General features: G+C 50.6%; 1 protein-coding gene and 1 long non-coding RNA gene across 64 annotated transcripts in view; one reads left to right on the plus strand and one right to left on the minus strand.

The window, feature by feature from the left end:
• Positions 1-5,539, minus strand: part of SMUG1 (single-strand-selective monofunctional uracil-DNA glycosylase 1) — a 30,751-nt gene extending 25,212 nt beyond the window's left edge. For 3 of the 62 annotated variants that reach the window (NM_001351238.2, NM_001351258.2, NM_014311.3), the window contains exons 1-3: positions 5,505-5,539; positions 4,373-4,459; positions 210-513 (exon numbers count right to left, since the gene is read on the minus strand). In NM_001351238.2, coding sequence (NP_001338167.1) covers positions 210-494 — 285 coding nt within the window. In that variant the 5' untranslated portion in view covers positions 495-513; positions 4,373-4,459; positions 5,505-5,539. Of the gene's footprint in view, positions 1-209; positions 514-3,446; positions 3,566-3,599; positions 3,850-4,372 lie in introns of all 62 variants that reach the window. The other 59 variants (NM_001243791.2, NM_001243788.2, NM_001351261.2 and 56 more) reach the window with 41 other exon arrangements.
• On the plus strand, positions 5,651-18,887 carry LOC105369777 (uncharacterized). Of its 2 annotated transcripts, XR_944983.1 has the most exons (4): positions 5,651-5,756; positions 6,202-6,374; positions 7,002-7,088; positions 17,014-18,399. It is a non-coding gene; the product is annotated as an uncharacterized LOC105369777 (long non-coding RNA). The 2 variants fall into 2 exon arrangements; XR_944984.2 differs by lacking the exon at positions 6,202-6,374 and having other exon boundaries at positions 17,014-18,887.
• Positions 18,888-20,112: the final 1,225 nt, after the last annotated feature.

Consider the following 20,112-nt stretch of genomic DNA (forward strand, 5'->3'; position numbering starts at 1 on the left):
ACTACCATTAATGTGCTTGGTTAATTACGGGCAGAGACGCTGGGAGAGGGCCTCGGACCACAGGAGCCAGTATATGTGTTGAGACAGAATGGGGCGGGAGGACCTACACATGTCTACAGCCATGCACATGCTCCTTCTCCACAGCACACCCAGCCAAGCATCCACCTAGAACCCCCCACTCCACCCACTGGGGAAGCCAAACCCTTTACCCCAGTCTGGGCCATGCCAAAAGGTCCAGGGTTCATGCCCAGGAAGAGTACTTCCTTGGGGCCCTGGCAGTAGCGAGTCACGTAGTTGCGATGTGGCTCCCATGCATACTCCACGGGATTGTAGATGATGCCCACAGGCTCCGAAAACTGCAGCTGGCTCAGCTCAGCATTGAGCCGAAGCTCCTCCTCCAGGAAGCTCTCAGCCAAGCTTCCAGGGCAGGGCTGGGGCTCCATGAGGGCACCTGCAGGCTCATGGATGGACCCCAGCAGGAAAGCCTGGGGCATATGTCCATGCCGCTGTCACCTGGGAAAAGAGATGGACAGAAGCCCCATCAACCCTCAGCCACAGAGTAGGAGGGATCCATGCTTGCCAGGGCCCCCACTACCATTTCCTGGGCTCAGAAGGGACCCTAAGAGACCATGTCAGTCATCTACCAACCACCAAGTAGGACTGAACTCATCTCAGTTCTTGGTAATGAAGGGCCCTTTCCCTCCCCACTTCCATTATCTGTCCTCTTCACATGGCACCTGGTGAGGATAAGCCATAGCCACCAAACATCTCCCACTCCAAATCTCCTTTCCATCAGGCATAGGTCACTAGTTCCTGGGCTATGCCGAGCACATAGTAGGTTTTCAATAAACATTTACTGGTGGCATCCTTTCAGCACCTTTAAGGTCATCCTAAAAAAGAAAAGCCCAGCCAGAATGGACTGTTCTGGAAAGCACGGCGCTGAAGAATGAAATGCAAGTGCACAGCCACAGCCCAGAGACCTGGGAAGGCTAATTACAATAGCTTCCAGGTGGTGAGCGACTGCTCTGCACCAGGTACACCTCATTGATCCTCACAACAATCCCATGAGGTGGGTATTACTGCTCCCCTGTTATAAGTGAGGACACTGAGGCTTAGCAAGATTAAGCAACTTGCCCAAGGTCTTACAGTTAGTAAGTAATAAAGCTGGATTTGGTTGAGCCCAATCTCTCTGGCTCAAGGCTATGCTTTAACCACCCACGCCATCTTGCCTTAGATGGTTTGATCAGCCACCCTGCTAATTCTACAACCCCCTAACCCCAGCCTAGCTTCTTTCCCACACTCAGGAATACCGAGTAGGATGATTACAGACTCCTCATAGAATCTTACGAGCTACACAACCATGGCCAGAGCCTCAGGTTTCCACCTTCAAATACAAAGAATAATAATATCCACTTAATAATGTTGACATAAGGAAGGCCAGGCATGGTGGCTCATGCCTGTAATCCCAGCACTTTGGGAGGCCAAGGCGGCTGAATCACCTTAGGTCAGGCGTTCAAAACTGGCCTGGCCAACATGGCGAAACCCCGTCTCTACTAAAAATTACAAAAATTAGCTGGGCATGCTGGGCGTGGTGGCTCAAGCCTGTAATCCCAGCACTTTAGGAGGCTGAGGTGGGCAGATCACCTGAGGTCGGGAGTTCGAGACCAGCCTGACCAAAATGGAGAAACTCCCACCTCTACTAAAAATACAAATTAGTCAGGCATGGTGGTACGTGCCTGTAATCCCGGCTACTCTGGAGGCTGAGGCAGAATCATTTGAACCTGAAAGGTGGAGGTTGCGGTGAGCCAAGATCGTGCCATTGCACTCCAGCACGGGCAACAACAGTGAAACTCTCTCTCAAAAAAAAAAAATTAGCTGGGCGTTGTGGTGGGCACCTGTAATCCCAGCTACTCGGGAGGCTGAGGCAGGGAGAACTGCCTGAACCCGGGAGGCTGAGGTTGCAGTGAGCCAAGATCGTGCCACTGCACTCAAGCCTGGGCAAAAGAGCAAGACTCCATCTCAAAAAAAAATAAAATAAAAAATAAATAAATAAATAAATAAATAAATAAATAAATAAATAAATTTGCCGGGCGCAACAGCTCATGCCTGTAATCCCAGTACTTTGGGAGGCTGAGGCAGGTGGATCACGAGGTCAGGAGTTCAAGATCAACCTGGCCAACATGGTGAAACCCCGTCTCAACTAAAAATACAAAAATTAGCTGGGCATGGTGGCACGTGCCTGTAATTCCAGCTACATGGGAGGCTGAGGCAGGAGAATTGCTTGAACCAGGACCTGGGAGGCAGAGGTTGCAGTGAGCCGAGATTGTGCCACTGCACTCCAGCCTGGGCTACAGAGGGAGACTGTCTCAAAACAAACAAACAGACGTAAGGATGGAATGAGATGTTATGTTTAGGTGAAGGGAGAAAAGAAATGGGAGAGGAAGAAGAAAGGGAAGAGAGAAGGGAGGTGGGAGGAAGGAGAAGGGAGGGGGCAGGAACATGACAGCAAGCTTTGTAAACTGCAAAGGCCATTGCTTCACTCCACTCCCATTCAAACCCAGTGTTCCAACCTGACCATTCTACTCACATTTTCAAAATGCCTTTCCTGCCTCAACTCCCAAAACCTTGCACATACCATTTCTACAGTCCAACCAAATACACTCCTGAAGTCAACCAGGACATCATCCAGCAGTCATCCAGTCAACTAGGACTGTTGATTCCCCAACCTGTCCACATATCCAAATCACTCCCATCCTTCAAAATGCAGCTCAAACCATCCCTTTGATAAAGTCTTCCCTCCTCAGAACACTGCAGTATTTGCCATAGTGTCCCAACCCCACCCCCAACACAAGTAGGTCCCGTGTGAGGCCTGGGAATCTGTGTTTTTTGTTTTGTTTTGTTTTGTTTTTTTTTTGAGACAGAATCTTGCTCTGTCGCCCAGACTGGAGTGCAGTGGCGCGATCTCAGCTCACTGCAACCTCTGCCTCCCGGGTTCAAGTGATTCTCCCACCTTAGCCTCCTGGGTACTGGGATTACAGGTGCGCAGCACCACACCCGGCTAATTTTCGTATTTTCAGTAGAGACAGGGTTTCACCATGTTGGTCAGGCTGGTCTCGAACTCCTGACCTCATGATCTGCCTGCCTCAGCCTCCCAAAGTGCTGGGATTACAAACGTGAGCTACCGTGCCCAGCCTGGGAATCTGTATTTTAAACAAGCTTCCCAGGGTGATTCTGATGGTTGGTGAAGGCTGAGAACCACTGTGTGTCACCATGGTTACCGTCGTCTTAATGAATTCCTTTTGCCTCCCCAGCTAAACTTGGGCAGATCAAGAGCCAGGCCTTGTTCAATCTCCCTCCATAAGCCCAAGGTCCTGGCCCTTATTAGGTACTCAACAAACACCTGCTCAGCAATGTCCATCTTCTTTTTCACTTTTGTTTAAAACTACCTTCTGTGCTGGGCACAGTGGCTCATGCCTGTAATCCCAGCACTTTGAGAGGCCAAGGCAGAAGAATTGCTTGAGGCCAGGAGTTCAAGACCAGCCTGGCTGACATAATGAGACCCCATCTGTAAATATAAAAATAAAATAAACAGCTTTTACCAAGGAGGCACTCCTGATGGATCCTTCTCCACTTCTATATCCTGAGTTCACTCAAGGCTTAGCTGCCCACTTTGCACTCTGCTTGTTTTCCAGACTCTGGGTCTGTGCCCATCATATGTGTGCCTCCCATGCGACAAGGACCATTGTCATTCCTTCCTCTCAACTTTCTGCCTGGGTCAGGAGTGACTTCTCCAAGATAAGAACTCAAGGTTGACACAACAGCTCGATAAACCTATTTTCTCACCCTAGCCTAGGGGAAGTGGGAGAGAAAAGAAATCAGAGGCCCAACTTAGGAAGTCCTTCCCTGACTGTCTCAGTAGTCTTTAACTGATCTGTTGTCCAGGTGGCTACCCAGGACAAACTGGGCTCATACAAAAGCTGAGAAGGGTGCTGTGGAGAACGCCAGTGTTTCAGGGGACCTTGCTTTGCATCTCCCCATGCAACACCAACATTAGCAGATTGGCTGCTCCAGCTCTAGAATCTCGAGAAGTCTTGAGCCCACCTTTGACATTTAGACACCTGTGTTGGAAACAGCAAGGCTGGGGAAAAGAGTGGCAAGATACTACTTTCATTGTTCCATAACTTCAAAGCCTGATCTCATAGCAAGAGCCACAGGCTGGAAGTCAATTGATTTGAATTCTACTCCTGTTTCATCTCTAAGAAGGTTCTCTTGAGCAACTCATTTAACTCTCTTCTCTATGGAAAATCACATACTCCATCCAACCTACCACCTGTTAACTCATTTTTTTTTTCAATACTTATGAGTCTCTTACATGACAGGCACTGCAGCAGTCTCTTGATGAGGAAGAAATCCAAAAAGAGTAAAATGTAGGCCAGGCTTTCTGTAAGCTCATAATCTGCTGTGAGGGCAAATAAACAACTAACTGTAATACAGTGTGATGTGAGCTTTAATACCCGGAACAAAACACTAAGAGAACCCAAAGGAGGAACTTGTAAGTTCTACCCAAAGTCGCCCCAAGAGCCAGAGGCTTAAGAAATGTAGATATTTTATAAAATACGGTGTCATACTACATTAAGCACAAAGACAGCGGAGTTGGACCAAGCGATAAGGCTGACCACCAAGGGCCGACTTCAGACTGATGTCAGACTTCTCTGACATCAAATCCGGGAAGTGAGGAAGGAATCGAAATCACATATGCACTCCCCTGTCCTTTGGAGGCACTCCGGGAGTCCAGGGACAATAATAAATATCCTTAAACGAAATAATAATAATAATAATAATAATAATAAATAATAATAATAATAATAATAATAATAATAATAATAATAATAATGCATAGGCCGGGCGCGGTGGCTCACACCCGTAATCCGAGCACTTTGGGAGGCCGAGGCGGGCGGATCACGAGGTCAGGACTTCGAGACCAGCCTGACCAACATGGTGAAACCCAGTCTCTACTAAATACAAAAATTAGCTGGGCATGGTGGCGCGCGCCTGTAATCCCACCTACTCGGGAGGCTGAGGCAGAAGAATCGCTTGAACCCGGGAGGCGGAGGCTGCAGTGAGCTGAGATCGCGCCATTGCACTCCAGCCTGGAATTCAGAGCAAAATTCCGTCTCAGAAAAATAAATAAATAAACAATAATAATAATAAAGCATAAACTCAAAAAGACCATTTCATCTGGTTCCAAAGGGGCCGACTACTAAGGCACCATACAAAACCTCCGGGGGCGCCCGCTGGCTCCGGCCGACTGGAAAGCCTTGATCCTGCAGACCTCCCAGGCGGTTTCATAGGCTGGGCTCTCCCTGCACTGAGTCTTACCCCATACGGAGGGAGGGACCCCAAAATATAGAAATTCTAACCACCCTCTCGGCTCAGCCCCGACGACCCTGGGAGCCGTCAACTTGCCCCCACAGTCCCGGATTCCCAGCCCCCTACTTCCTCACCTGGTCCAGCTCCCCATCCCGTTTCCGGTTCCTTTCCCCCACCCCAAACCCAACCCCCGGCGCTAAGGACAGTGGGAGTCGTAGTCTACATTGTTTAGGGAAGGAGATTGGCGTACCCGCAGCCACTTCCGCCGGAAATGCTCCAATCCCGGAAGGCGCACTAAATTAGCCCTAAAGATCGCTGGGAATTGTAGTTTAATCTTTCCATCAGCGTTAAATCAGGAAGTCTTGAGAAGTGAAAAGCCACAGCCTGTAAGTACCTAGGAAATCCTGGGTTCTATCCCTAAAGGGCATCGCCCTTCCAAAAGTTCATTCACTATTTTCCCAAAGGGATTGCAAATCAGGAAGCTTCAACCATCCCCAATCCCTCACCCACCTGAAGGTATTAACAATAGCTAAAGACCATTGCTAGGCCCCCTGCCACCGTGGGTATAAGAGACTTCTCCTTTGCAGCCTGCCATTACTTATACAGAACATCCACGAAGACATTTCTGGTAGCTCCTAACAACTTTTTAGCAAGGGGCATCCCCCATTACTGTCCAAGCCCATCTCCAGAGTGTCACCATTTTGACTTCTTTCTCTGCCTTGCTATCTGCCCAACCCTATAACCTCAGTATTAGTCAAGAGTTTTCCAGAGAACAGAACTAACAGGATATCTATCTATATGACGAGATTTATTCCAAGAATTGGCTCACAGGATTGTGGAGGCCAAGAAGTCCCACAGTCTCCCGCTCTGCTGTCTATACACTGGAGAACCAGGAAAACAGGTGGTATAATTCAGGAAAGTCCAAAGCAGGGGAGGAGGCTCACTGCTAAGTCCCAGAGCCTGAAGGACGAAGAACCAGGAACTCCAATGATGTCCAAAGGCAGGTAAAATAGATGTCCCAGCTCATGAAGAAAGAGAATTTGCCTTCCTCCACTCTTTTGTTCTACTGGCCCCCAAGGGATTGGATGGTTCCCACCCATATTAATGAGGGTGATCTTCTTAGTCTACCAATTCAAATGCAAATCTCTTCCAGAAACACTCCACAGACATATCCAGAAATAATGTTTTACCAGCTATCTGGGTGTCCCTTAGACCACTCAAGTAGACACATAAAGTTAGCTATCACTCTTCCATCCAAATCTTCTCCCTCAAATACTTTGTCCAGGAAGGCTTCCCTGATCAATCCTCATCCCATGGCTGCACCTAACAGTCCATTCCCCCACCATTCCCCCATCCCAATATCTATGTCCAAATCTGTCCTATTCCTAGTTTTGTTCTTGTGCTCTATCTGGGTCTGGTTCTGTGTCGTGACTCTAAAACTTTCATTAGACTGGGAACCCCCTAAGGTTAGTTATCTTCTATATTCCTCCCACCCCACAATCTCCACACACCTTAGCACAGCCAAGGCTCTAATCACAGAAGCAAGGTCTCCCTGTGAGTGGTAGAAAAGGAGACCTATAAACCCCAGAACAGGAAGAAGTGAGAGAAAAAGGATGCTATTCCCTTCCCAGGACTTGTCTGATCTCCTATCAACAAAAACTTAATGGGTGCAGTAGGAGCTTCAGGGAGCTGTGAGCAGTGACCTGCTGACATCAAGGGTGAGAAACTACCCTGACCCTTGCAAGACTTTGGAAATGGAATTAATCATCCACCTCATGAAGCCCATAATTTCCTGAGCTTTAATTTTTACCAGATCCTCTCCCTCTCTGTGTCTCTCTCTGCCTATGTTATTTGCCCCTCTCTACTTATGTAAATTTATCTCTATTTCTAGTCTCTTGTGTAGCTTTCTCTCTGTATCTGCAGGTCTCTGTCTCCCTCTGTGAACATCTCCCTGTTTCTGCTTCTTACCCTAGAATGACTGGAATAAGAGAATCTGAGCTTCTAGAACAAGTTCCCCCATCTCTGTGTGTCTATGTATTTCTGTGTTTCTGACCAAAAATAAGGTGAAGGGACCTCATTGTGGTGTCATCTCATTGCTTAAAAATTCCAGGATTTCCACCATCCCTTGGACAACCCTCCTGTCCACCCCGACCCCTCTGTCACTTGCTTGCCCAGCACTTCTGTTCTAGTTTGTCATCTTGGCAGCCCCTCCACATTCAAAGTCTGCTTCTGGCAGAACAATAATGAGTGAAATGAGTAACAGGCAAGCAGAGATCCCCCAGGACCTCCACCTCCCCACCCCTGATTTCAATTTCCTAGAAGACTTGAATAACTGTTTCTGTCCCTATAAGCCCATCCACCCCAGGGAACCCAGAGATAGGAAGTCCAGATATAAGGAGAAACTGAGGCTTAGGCAGCCCACAGTGAGTCCCTACAGCCAATGTCAGAGGGGCCTGGGGCCTTCTCTCTCTCTAGTCCATGCTATTCCTCCCCGCCCAGTGAGTCACTCCCAGGAAAGATGGAGGTGAGGCGCTCTCCTGAAGTAGGCGTGCTTAGAAACAGGGACCCTGAGGCTTTCAAGAGATAGAGCCCAAGAGATGAAACATGGGCTTGGGTGCAGCCCTTCCAACCAGTCTCTTCCATTTATTAGTCTTCATGTCTTCTGGGAAGTCTTCAGGAGGCTGCTGACTGTGATTTACGGGTAGAGCCTTGTGGGGCAGGAACAGAAGATGACCCAGGTTATCGCCTGGGTAAGAGCCTAGAGAGTTGAGTCACCGGTCCTGGGGCAGGGCTCCAGGCATACCCACCAGCCAGCCCCTCTGTCCTGAGCCCGGGAGGGAAGGGGTTAACCGGCTCACTTGTTTTTTTTTTTTTTTTTTTGTTTCCTCGGGCTGCTGGAGCTGTGTTGGGCCATGAGCGCCATCTATCGGCCTCTTTGGGTCCTAGCTCCGACTCTGCTCACTTGGGCTGCTAGGCGGATCTTTCAGCCTTTCCCTTGCCTCGCCGCTTCTCACGGGGAAGGGCTGTCTAGCTGCGGGGCCTCCCACTGCACAAAACAAAGGTCGGGAATTGGAGAAGGTGAAGGCCATGTTTCCCCCTTCATAGATACTAAGTTTCACCCTGTTCAGCTCCCACTCACTGTTTCTGACATGGGGAGCCCCAAAGGGGGTTCTGGTGTTTAACTTTCAGTGTAGCCACCTTCCCCACTTCCACTACACTGGGTCCTGTCCCGATTAGCCCAACAAACATCAAAAGAGCATAGGACAGTGAAGACAGCATAGCAGAGGCCTCAGGACTTTGGGCTCTGGAATCAGACTGCTGCGTTTGAATCCAAGCTCTGCCACTTACTCATGGTGACCTTGGGCATGCTACTTAATTTCTCTGTGCCTCAGTTATCTCAGTTGTAAAATGGGATAATCATTGTAATCTCTATCTTCTTTTGTGATGTTTAAATGACTTAATTACATTAAGTGCTTATTACAGAATTTGGGCTCCACAAAGGGTAGTTATTGCTGTTGCTCTGCCAGGGTCTCAGGCAGATGATAGTCTGAGTACCCAAGACCCAGTCCATGAAGCCCTATCAGACACACAAGCACGGAGGACAAGACTGGGGAGCTCATCCTGTAGATTTCCCAAAGACAGTGACCTGCATGCAGGGTTAGGTTTGGAGTTGGAAGTTCAGGATTGCAAGGAAAGTAACTCTTCAGGTCTCCAAGGTCAGCAGAAGTTGGGATAAGGAGGTCACAGCAAGAAAGAACCTGAAGTAAAGATGTAGGAAGGAAATGCATTAAGGAAGAAGCATTAACAGGCCCTTTAAAGGGCCCTGATTTGGGGAAGGGAAAAGGGCTCCTTGATGTGTGAGTTAAGCAAGGGCCACTGCATCCCAAGGACATGTCCTTGGCACAGATGCAAAAGTCTCCAGACTTGATCAGATTCCCCATGCCTCCCCATTCCATCTGTGGGGACTTAACACTCCATGTCTTTTCCTCAGCCTAGTGAGGAGGGGCACTTACAAAGAGAGAAAGCTATCTGCAGGGCCCACAACCAGAGGAGCTAGGCTGTGAGTTCATCCATTTGTGTCCTTTTTTTTTTTTTTTTTTTTTTTTTGAGACAGGGTCTCACTCTGGAATGCAGTGGCATGATCATGACTCACTGCACTCTCGACCTCCTAGGCTCAAGCAGTCCTCCCGCCTCAGCCTCTCCAGTAGCTGGGACTACAGGTGCGCACCACCACACCCAGCTAATTTAAAAATTTTTTTTGTAGAGACAGGGTCTTGCTATGTTGCTCAAGCTGGTCTTGAACTGCTGGGCTCAAGTGATCTTCCCACCTCGGCCTCCCAAAATGTTGGGATTATGGGTGTAAGCCACCGCACCTGCCTGATTTGTTTCTCAACAGGTTCAGCCATCTCGCTGTCTCTGTATCTTCTATATCTCTGCCTTCATCTACCTTACAAGAAATGGGATTATTCTCCAAGGGGTGAGAATAAGGTGACAAAGTGACACCCTCTCAGTTAAGACAGAAATGCAGAGCCAGTGGGGTCCCTGGCTCAGCCTCGCTACCCTGCTACGCACACCTCAGCCCCAAGGCAGCACAACCTAGCTTTATGGATTATGCCTACTTAACTGGAGGAAGATGACAGCGTCTAGGTCTCCTCAACTCTGGTGTCCTCCATCTCCTGGGGCCTGGACGCCTGGGTCCCCAAGAGAGGAGCAGGAATAGGCTGGATGGGCTGATTTGCATCACTTACTTGGGAAGCAATTATCGGAGGAGCTGTCAGCTCAGTGCAGCTCTCTCCTCACTAATCGGATTTCACCAGAGCCCGGGGCTTGGGGGGGCCGAGTAATTTGGCTTGATGCAGTGGTGGGAGATGTCAGGGCCAGGAGGCCGGACAATCTGTCTGAGTGGTGTTAGAGTTGTCCAGAGCAATTATCCTGAGGGACCACACAGACATCAGATAGACAGACAGACAAGGGAATGGGACTGATCCCCAAGTCCTTTAGCAGGAAGGATGGAAGTGAGACTTGGAGAATGGGAGGAGCATCTCCCACAGGTTGAACCAAATTGAGCAACTAGAAGAGGATCAAGATGAGTCTGAGAGAGTGGCCATGGGACCAAGTGGGAGGACGACCCAAGAATCCTAGCTTCCAGCCTACTCAACACCGAGGCCCAGCCCTGCCTTGCCCTGCACTCCCAGGGAACCAGTCACAGAGCAGGAACTTGAACCTAGGGTGATTCTTCTGAGCTCTGCTCCTTCCCCTGCAATGTTCCCAAAAGACAATTTCCTTGCCTCTGGCCCTGGCTCTGTCATTTGCCTTCTCTTGCTCCTGCAGCCCTCTTGAACCTGTCCTTTCCTTCCCACCCATACTGCCCCTCTCATCTCTCTGGTGATCCCTCTCTCTGTCTCTGTCCTCCATTCCACATCTTTCAGAATAGTGGTAAGGGTGATAGTGACAATAACTAACCGTTAGTGAGTGCTTTGTCCACACCAGACACCACCCTGAGTGCTTTATGTGGATTGTTTCCTTTACTCCTCTCAGCAACACTTTGAGGGACATACTTTTTTTTTTCTTTTTTGAGACAGAGTTTTGCTCTGTCACCCAGGCTGGAGTGCAGTGGCACAATGTCGGCTCACTGCAACCTCCGCCTCCCAGGTTCAAGGGATTCTCCTGCCTCAGCCTCCTGAGTAGCTGGGATTACAGGCACCTGCCACCACGCCCGGCTAATTTTTATATTTTTAGAAGAGACAGGGTTTCACTATGTTGGCCAGGCTGGTCTTGAACTCCTGACCTCAGGTGATCTGCCTGCCTCAGCCTCCCAAAGTGCTGGGATTACAGGCGCAAGTAAGCCACCATGCCCAGCCTTTTTTTTTTGAGACAAAGTCTCACTGTGTTGCCCAGGCTGGAGGGAAGTGGCACAATCTTAGCTCACTGCAACCTTCACCTCCCAGACTCAAGCAATCCTCCCACCTCAGCCTCCCAAGTAGCTGGGACTACAGATGTGCACCACCACACCCTGCTAATTTTTAAATTTTTCTGTGGAGATGGGGGTCTCACTATATTGCCCAGGCTGGTCTCAAACTCCGGAGCTCAAGTGATCCTTCCACCTCAGCTTCCCAAAGTGCTGAAATTACAGGCATGAGCCACCATGTCCAGCTCAAGGATGTTCTGATAGCAGGTTGAAAAGAGCACTGAACTTTCAAGGACATTTGGAGCTGGGAGTCTGCCACTTGCCAGCAGTGTGACCTTAGGAAGCTCATGACCTCTGTGAACCTTGGGCTAATCATTTCGTTCTTCACCTGGAAGAGAGGATGACAATGCCTACTTCACGGGACACATGATGCATCCTTGTCTTATCTGCTCTGAGTCTATCAGATAAGCTGTGGGGATATGTCTGTTCTCTCCACCTTTCTACCTTACTGTTGAGCCTCTGCCTCTTTGACCCCCATTAATTCAGGCATGTAGCCCAGGAGTCCTACCACTCTGCTCCCTCACTGTCACTCACTGTCACTCAAGCATGTTGATTTTCCTGATGTTTCACCCTTTTCCAAGAAGTCCAGAGGACCAGCCCACGTTGGCCCCACCACTCCCTTAACAAGATTTGAGTTCTCCCTCTGAAAATATGAATAATAAAGAAACGAGGCACTAGGCCTAGAACTGAATGCAAATTGGCCCCAGTGCTCAATCCAAGAAAGAGAATGCTTGAGCTGTGGACCCAGAGAAATCCTATGCTTATTTGCATGTCATTTGCATTATATTTACATGTGATCAATTTCATGTTCAAATGCACAATCCTCCCTCCCCAGTTTTCCTCCCCTAGAATCCTCTCAGCCTCTGCCCCCATCATTCCCCACAGCCCCTGACCCTCCTCTCCTAGCCCCTGCCACAACCTTCCTCATCCTTCTCTTTCTTTCTGCCAGTCCCCAGCCCCTGGCTCCCCTGCTCTACAGGCAAGGACCCACTTGCCCAACACCCAGAATAGCGTCCTGGGGTCTCACCCCTTAGTTCAGGAGGGACATCCCTGCTTGCCCCCTCCCACCCTGAGCTGAGCAGGCGCAGCAGACAGCAAGCGCGCCTCTCAGCAAATCCCAGCCCCATTCAGCCTGGTGATTAATGGCGCTGCCCTCCCCATGAACCTGCCTTTAATACTGAGGAAGTTATGAAACCGCTATACATCAGCAGCTCCGGCCCCACTGCCCCCGCCCGCGTCCTCCTCCCCTCTAACCCCCACCCTCCAGCTCCCTCTTCAAAATCTCATCTGGGCTCCTGTCTCCTGGGCCCACCCCTCCTCTGGCCTTTGCTGGGGGGAGGAGGGTGTCTGTCCCTGCTGCCATCCCTGGTAAGGACCACATCTCATTTTCCCTTCCTCTCTCCCCCCTGCTCCGCCCTCTCTCCCTCCCCCCAACCCACGGCTGCATCTCCGGACCCATTTAGAATTGCTGACATTTTATCTGCATTACATACATCACTCCGTCCCCAGCAGCCATCTCTCATGGATTATCGGGGGGCGAGGGCGGGGTGGTCCTCAGCTTGGGGAAGTGACAGAGAAACAGGGTGGAGGTGCGGAGATAGATAGCACTTCCTCCACACGCTTTTTCCCTCAGGGCCCAATCCCCAGCCACCTGAGAGGCTGTGCAGGTGGGAGCCTAGGATAGCTGATGGCAAGGGTTGTACCCTAGCCGCCTCCTGCCAGTCACTGCTATCTCATAACATCAAAAGCCTTTTTCTCAGACCACACAGACTAAGGAAGGTCATGTTGCGTGTCTTCCTGCCATGGGACTCCTCCTCAGGACATTATGAAAGGGGTTGTTTAACGTCTTAGCAGGCCTTCTCTAATATTTTCCACACTGCCCTTTTAGGAAGTCTCTCTGAATGTCTAACCACTGTGCTCCATGCTGCAGCCATTATTGTCTTCTTGCTTTGTCCTTAGAAGGTTGAAGAGCAATATTGTTCCTCAAATGCGTTAAACCCTTTGTTAGGATGCCTGAGCAACCATAAATACAGTCACTTTTCCACACTCCTGAGGCTCATAAACATGATAGGAGGCAGAAAGTAGGGCCACCTTAGAAAGGAGGAAATTGAGACCCAAAATCAGGAGAAGGAAAAGCAAGAACCTGTCCAAGATCAGGAGGCAAGGACACAGGGGCCCCACGATCCCAGTGGGCAGTTTGCTCTCCATAGATAGTGGACAGGCAGAGGGCAATGACAGACGGAGAATTCTGGACCAACAGATAGACAGCAGAAGGGAAAGAAAGGGGCAACCAGGAGGGAGACAGGCAAACAGACAAACAAACAAAGAGCTAGACAGACAAAGGGACCGTCAGCCAGGGACAGGCAGACAGGCAAGAGAAAGCCGACAGAGGCGCTGGTACAGCATGTCCCAGGCTGGACACATGAGAAGGGCTCTCTCCGTCTGTCTCTGTCACTCAGGGTCTCTGCTGGAATGTGTCTCTCAGGGTCTCAGGCTCTTTTTGCTCACTGGGTTTGCATCTATCTACTTCCCTGGAAATCTCTGTTTTTCTTGGGCCTCTCAACAGACTGTCCCTTACCTTGTGGTCTCCCCTGTCTAAGACCCCATCCCAGTCACTCCCTCTGTCTCAGGTCATCTTTCTGACCTGCTCTTCACTCTCCCTGTCAGAGAAATTCAGACGCTTCCTGCGGGCTTTGGGAAGCTTCCACAGGAACCGAGCCAGTCCTCCCGGGATGAATGGGAGGGGCGAGGGCTCTAGCAGGGGAGGGGTGGGGAAGGAATAGCTCTTGGGCCTGGAGAAGGGAAAGAGCTGATAGGCCTGTGTCCCCAAAATCTAGCAGGCTTAGCCAGTAAGGCAAGAAGAGCCCGGGCAGGGAAGGTAAAGGGTACAGGACCCTCTGTCCTGTGGCTCAAACCCACACAAAACAGGCCTCAGGCAGTGGGTGCAGGGGTGTGAGTCACCTGCTGTTTGCATCTCATTTGCATGTTTCTGGCTCCCAGTTCAGTCTGGTCCCAAGAGGCTTGGGGGCAGGGAGGGGATCATGCACCAGAGTCCATGACTCTCACGTACCTCCTGACAGCACAAGGCGTGTTCCTGTCCTCTCCTACCTTAAAGCCAGCCTCAACCCCAAAAGTTGGCTGGACACATCATCCTCCAGACATGCCCTGCACTGTCCTGTCTCCAACTTTTGTCATGGTCCCCCGAGTCTTCCCCACTCCTCTCAATTTCGCTCAACATTAGCCATTTTTTTTTTTTTTTTTTTTTTGAGACGGAGTTCCACTCTTGTCGCCCAGGCTGGAGTGCAATGGTATGATCTCGGCTCACTACATCCTCTGCCTCCTGGTTTCAAGCAATTCTCTGCCTCAGCCTCCCGAGTAGCTGGGATTACAGGCACCCACCACCACGCCCTGCTAATTTTTTGTATTTTTAGTAGAGATGGGGTTTCACCATCTTGGCCAGACTGATCTTGAACTCCTGACCTCGTGATCCACTTGCCTCGGCCTCCCAAAGTGCTGGGATTACAGGCGTGAGCCGCCGCGCCTGGCCTAGCCATCTTTTTCTTTTTTGTTTTTTTTGAGGTGGAGTCTCGCTCTGTTGCCCAGGCTGGAGTGCAGTGATGCAATCTTGACTCACTGCAAGCTCCGCCTCCTGAGTTCACACCATTCTCCTGTCTCAGCCTCCCCAGTAGCTGGGACTACAGGCGCCCGCCACCACGCCTCGCTAACTTTTTTTTTTTTTTTTTTTTTGTATTTTTAGTACAGATGGGTTTTCACTGTGTTAGCCAGGATGGTCTCGATCTCCTGATCTCGTGATCCGCCCACCTCGGCCTCCCAAAGTGCTGGGATTTCAGGCATGAGCCACTGCGCCCGGCCGCAGACTAGCCATCATTTAAAGCCAGATACCAAGTCCTCCACTTCCATGAAGGCTTCTCTGATCACACAAACCCCAAGTGATCATAATCCTACAGCTCTCAATGCTGAAAGGCACCTAAAGAAATCAGGTCTGTCTTACCCATCTTCAGGAGATAAGGCTTCACCATCCCCGTTTTATAGATGAGGCAACCGAGGCCCAGGATCAGTTAATGTAGGTTTCCCAGAGCAGAATAGCCAGCAAGTAGGGAGGAGATGAAGGCCCAGGGCACACCTCTCCACACCCCCAGCTCCCACTGCCCCTTGTCATTCATTTAGCAGGGAGCAATGCCCTGTTCTGCACCACTCTCGCATGGCTAGTGAGCTGACCATTGGGCATCGTTGCTCCCCTTCTGGGTTGGGATTTCAGTCTCCCATGACTCCCTCGGCTTCAGCCATACAGAACTACTGCCGGTTCCCTAAATTCTCCTTGCCCTTTCTTAGCAACATGTCTTTGCCTGTGGTAATCCCTCTGACAGGACTGCCTTTTTCTCCACCCACTGCTGAACCTGGCAAACTCCAGCTCATCCCTTAAAACCCATCTCAACCATCACCTCCTCTGTGAAGCCTTTTCTGATGTTCTTCGTCAGATCCCAGCAACCTATTCAAACGTCTGAGGCAGCACTTGTCACACTGCTGCTGACACCGCAGCCTCCCTCCCTAGCCACAAGTCCTTCAAGGGCAAGGACCACCATGTGCTATTCAGCTGTCTCCCCAGGATACACACAAATACAGGCACACATTTAATTGAACCAGATTTTATTATCAACTTCCTTCCCATCCCAGGCCCACAGAACAGAAGCATCAGCCTAGTGGGGAGATCAGAAAGAAAGACTGAGAAGAAAACAACTCAGGAGATGATCGGGGGTACAGCACGTGCATTAGTGCTCTTGATCATCTCTTTCACCTAACTTAATGCTTAGTAAAAGAAGGAAGGGGCTGGGTGCGGTTGCTCACGCCTGTAATCCCAGCACTTTGGGAGGCCAAGGCGGGCGGATCACGAGGTCAGGAGATCGAGACCATCCTGGCTAACATGGTGGAACCCCGTCACTACTAAAAATACAAAAAATTAGCTGGGCGTGGTGGTGGGCGCCTGTAGTCCCAGCTACTCAGGAGGCTGAGGCAGGAGAATCGCTTGAACCCAGGAGGCAGAGGTTGCAGTGAGCTGAGATCATACCACTGCACTCCAGCCTGGGCAACAGAGCGAGACTCCGTCTCATAAAAAATAAAGAAGGAAGGAAGGGAGGAAGAGAGGAAAGTAAAGGAACAGAGGAAATAGGAAATAGAGCTGAAGGAGAAAGGGGAAGAAAGAAGGAAGGGAGAATAAAAAAAAAAAGTAAGAAAAGAGGTGGATGCAGGGTAGAAAGTAGAGCCAGAGAAGGGCCTTGTGGGAAGAGGGAGGGGAGGAAACAGGAGGAGCCAGGGGAGCGGGAGGCCAAACTTTTGACTCTGGAGCATGTCCAGCAGAGATCCTGGCCTTGAGCCTTAGTATCATTCCTGCCACCATGTTCCAATCTGGGAAATGGACACATCTCCCCTTCTCCAGGAACAAAGGAGTCTGGGCGGGAGCACCTGCTGTGCTGTGCTCCCCCCCCCCCAGAGGCCCTTTCACATCTGCCGTCTCCCAAAGCTCACCACAGCCCTGGGAAGTAGGATTTCTTATTCCACCCTTCCCTTCTGATGCGGGGATTGAGACAGAGCGGTCCGCCATGCGGCTCCAACAGGTAAGGTCTGACTCCAAAGGCCTGCTCTTCCCTTGACCCCAGGGTCCCCTCAGCATTGAAGACAGAAGAGGCAAATGACATTTCATGTCCCACTTGGAAAGTCAAGGTGCAGAAAACAGAGGGGACCAGACTCCTTCATATCCTGCGCAGCGTCATCTCCTGCCGCAAGAAGCACCCCACCTGCCGCAAGAAGCACTCCACCCGCATGACTCAGTCTTTGCCCAGTAGGTTGATGATAACCTAAGAAGCTGAAGACCTCACAGGGGCTCTGAAAGCCAACTGAAGTAGATGCAGCAAACTGTTCCATCATGTCATCCTTCCCTCTGCCTTGGGTCACCAGCCAAGGGAGGGAGTGGCTCAGGTGTTTTCCTTTCCACCCCTTTGTAAGCCCCCACGCAGATCTCCTCCCCATCCCAGAAGCCCAAGGAGCCAGCAATATCTGTGGTTCCCTGAGGTTCGGAGAGACACAGTAGCAAATAACTGTACCCAGGCCCCACTCCCCACTTCCAGGGATGTATAGCTTCGGGGTGTGGAGCACAGAGGACTTTTCCCAGAGCCTCACCCCAGATGAACAGCCAACTTCCCTTTGTTCAGCCTTCCTCAGATACTCAAACCCAGCAGCCCATGGCCTTCTCTGTCAGGAAGTCCTTCCTGATGTCTAACTTACATCTTTCCTGCTGCTGTCTATCCAGCCCTTAGCAGTGACAGGAGAGCAGTCTGAGCTCTAATGATCAGGGAATGGGGACAAGAACAAGTACTTCCCTTCAAGCCTTGGGTAGGGGAGTAGTAAGCAAAGAAAGAAGAGTGGCTCACTCAGCCTCATCTCTCCCGGCCTGTAGCAGTAGAAATGGAGGGTAGACAACTGGAAGGACTTCCTAGCCAAGCAAAGGGAGGTACTTCTGGAATAGGATTATAAAGTGCAAAGGCTGCGCCCTTTCTGATGGCCTCCCAGCCTGGCAGAGACCCTTCAGTGGCAGCTTCAGAAGGATAACCGGCACTTCCAGAAAAGCTCAGGGTGCTGGGATTACTGGGAACCCTTGCAGCTCCAGCAAAAAGAAAAACCTGGTCCTGGAGCCCCCTTGTGGCCGTGCAGAGGCAGGACAGGCAGTTCCACCTCCCACCACCACACCCGTGCTTAGAGCTGGGGCCCAGGGTTGCTGATGCAGAGGACAGGGAACCCAGGGCCCCACCTTCTGTGAGAGGCCAAATCGGCAGCCCCAGCCCCGAGGGCACCTGATCAGGAAGGAGTAGGGCCCAGAAGGAGCACTGGAAGAGGACACAGGCTAACCCCATTCTGTTCCTAATCTGCCGCTCTCCATCTGGTGACCCTGGGCACACCTCCCCACAGAGCCTCAGTGACCTCATTCATTAAAAGGAAGAAAAAGCCGGGCACGGTGGCTCACACCTGTAATCCCAGCACTTTGGGAGGCCGAGGCGGGCGGATCACGAGGTCAGGAGATCGAGACCATCATGGCTAACACGGTGAAATCCTGTCTCTACTAAAAATACAAAAATTAGCTGGACGTGGTGGCACATGCCTGTCCCAGCTACTCAGGAGGCTGAGGCAGGAGAATCGCTTGAACCAGGGAGGCGGAGGTTGCAGCGAGCCGAGATCATGCCACCGCACTCCAGCCTAGGCAACAGAGCGAGACGCCGTCTCAAAAAAAAAGTAAAACTCCCTCTGGCCCACCATTTTACCTTAAAGAAGTGTGGAAAGAACCAAATGCAATGATAATGTTCCGTACGTGAACTTGAATCATTTTTAAAACTCCTCTTCAGGCCGGGCGCCATCACGCCTGTAATCCCAGCACTTTAGGAGGCCAAGGCGGGCAGATCACCTGAGGTCAGGAGTTTGAGACCAGCCTGGCAAACATGGTGAAACCTCGTCTCTACTAAAAATACAAAAATTAGCCATGCGTACTGGTGCATACCTGTAATCCCAGCTACTTAGGAGGTAGAGGCAGGAGAAGTGCCTGAACCCAGGAGGCGGAGGTTGCAGTAAGCCAAGACCACACCACTACACTCCAGCCTGGGCAATAGAGCGACACTCCATCTCAAAAAACAAACAAACAAACAAACAAACAAACACCCTTCTTCAAATATGTGGGAAGAGTTGGGCACAGTGGCTCACACCTATAATCTCAGCATTTTGGGAGACTGAAGCTGGAAGATCACTTGAGGCCAGGAGTTCAATAAAGGCTAAGCGCAGTGGCTAACTTCTGTAATCCCAACACTTTGGGAGGCCAGGGTGGGAGGATTGCTTGAGCCCAAGAGTTCGAGACCAGCTTGGGCAACAACATGAGACCTCATCTGTACAAAAAAAAAAAAAAAAAAAAAAAAGCTAGGCACGGTGGGCGCACCTGTGTCCCAGCTACATGGGAGGCCAAGGCAGAAGGATCACTTGAGTCTAGGAGGTCAAGGCTGCAGTGAATCGTAATCAAGCCACTACACTCCAGTCTGATTGACAGAGCAAGACCGTGTCTCAAAAAATAAAATTAAAATAAAAACAAAGGTGTGGGCCAAGCACGGTGGCCCATGCCTGTAATCCCAGCACTTTGGGAGGCCAAGGTGGGCAGATCACGAGGTCAGGAGATCGAGACCATCCTGGCTAACACGGTGAAACCCCGTCTCTACTAAAAATACAAAAAATTAGCAGGTGTGGTGGTGGGTGCCTGTAGTCCCAGCTACTCGGGAGTCTGAGGCAGGAGAATGGTGTGAACCCGGGAGGCGGAGCTTGCCGTGTGAGCTGAGATCGCGCCACCGCACTCCAGCCTGGGCGACAGAGAGAGACTCTGTCTCAAAAAAAAAAAAAAAAACAAAGATGTGGAGAGAGGGGTCAGGAACTGACCCGCTACAGAATAATTCTGGACCTGCAATGGAGGGTGCAGATGGGACTGATGGGTTCTGCCCATCTAGAAACCCACCACTCCAGAGCTCCTGGAGGGAGGCAGACTAGGAGCCCTTAGAAGGAAGAGCCAAAAGGTCCCCAACACAGCCCTTCAATCCTCCACCAGTGCCTACTTTCAGAAGGTTGGGCCTGGTTGGTAAGGGCCCATTTAGCCAGATAGTGGACAGCAGATCTGGCCTGGGGCCTGAGGGCATTCAGTGCAACATCAGGGAAGCCTCAGGTGTCGGCATGCC

The sequence above is a fragment of the Homo sapiens genome, chromosome 12 (genome assembly GCF_000001405.40).
Source record: "Homo sapiens chromosome 12, GRCh38.p14 Primary Assembly".
NCBI classification, from domain to species: Eukaryota; Metazoa; Chordata; class Mammalia; order Primates; family Hominidae; genus Homo; species Homo sapiens.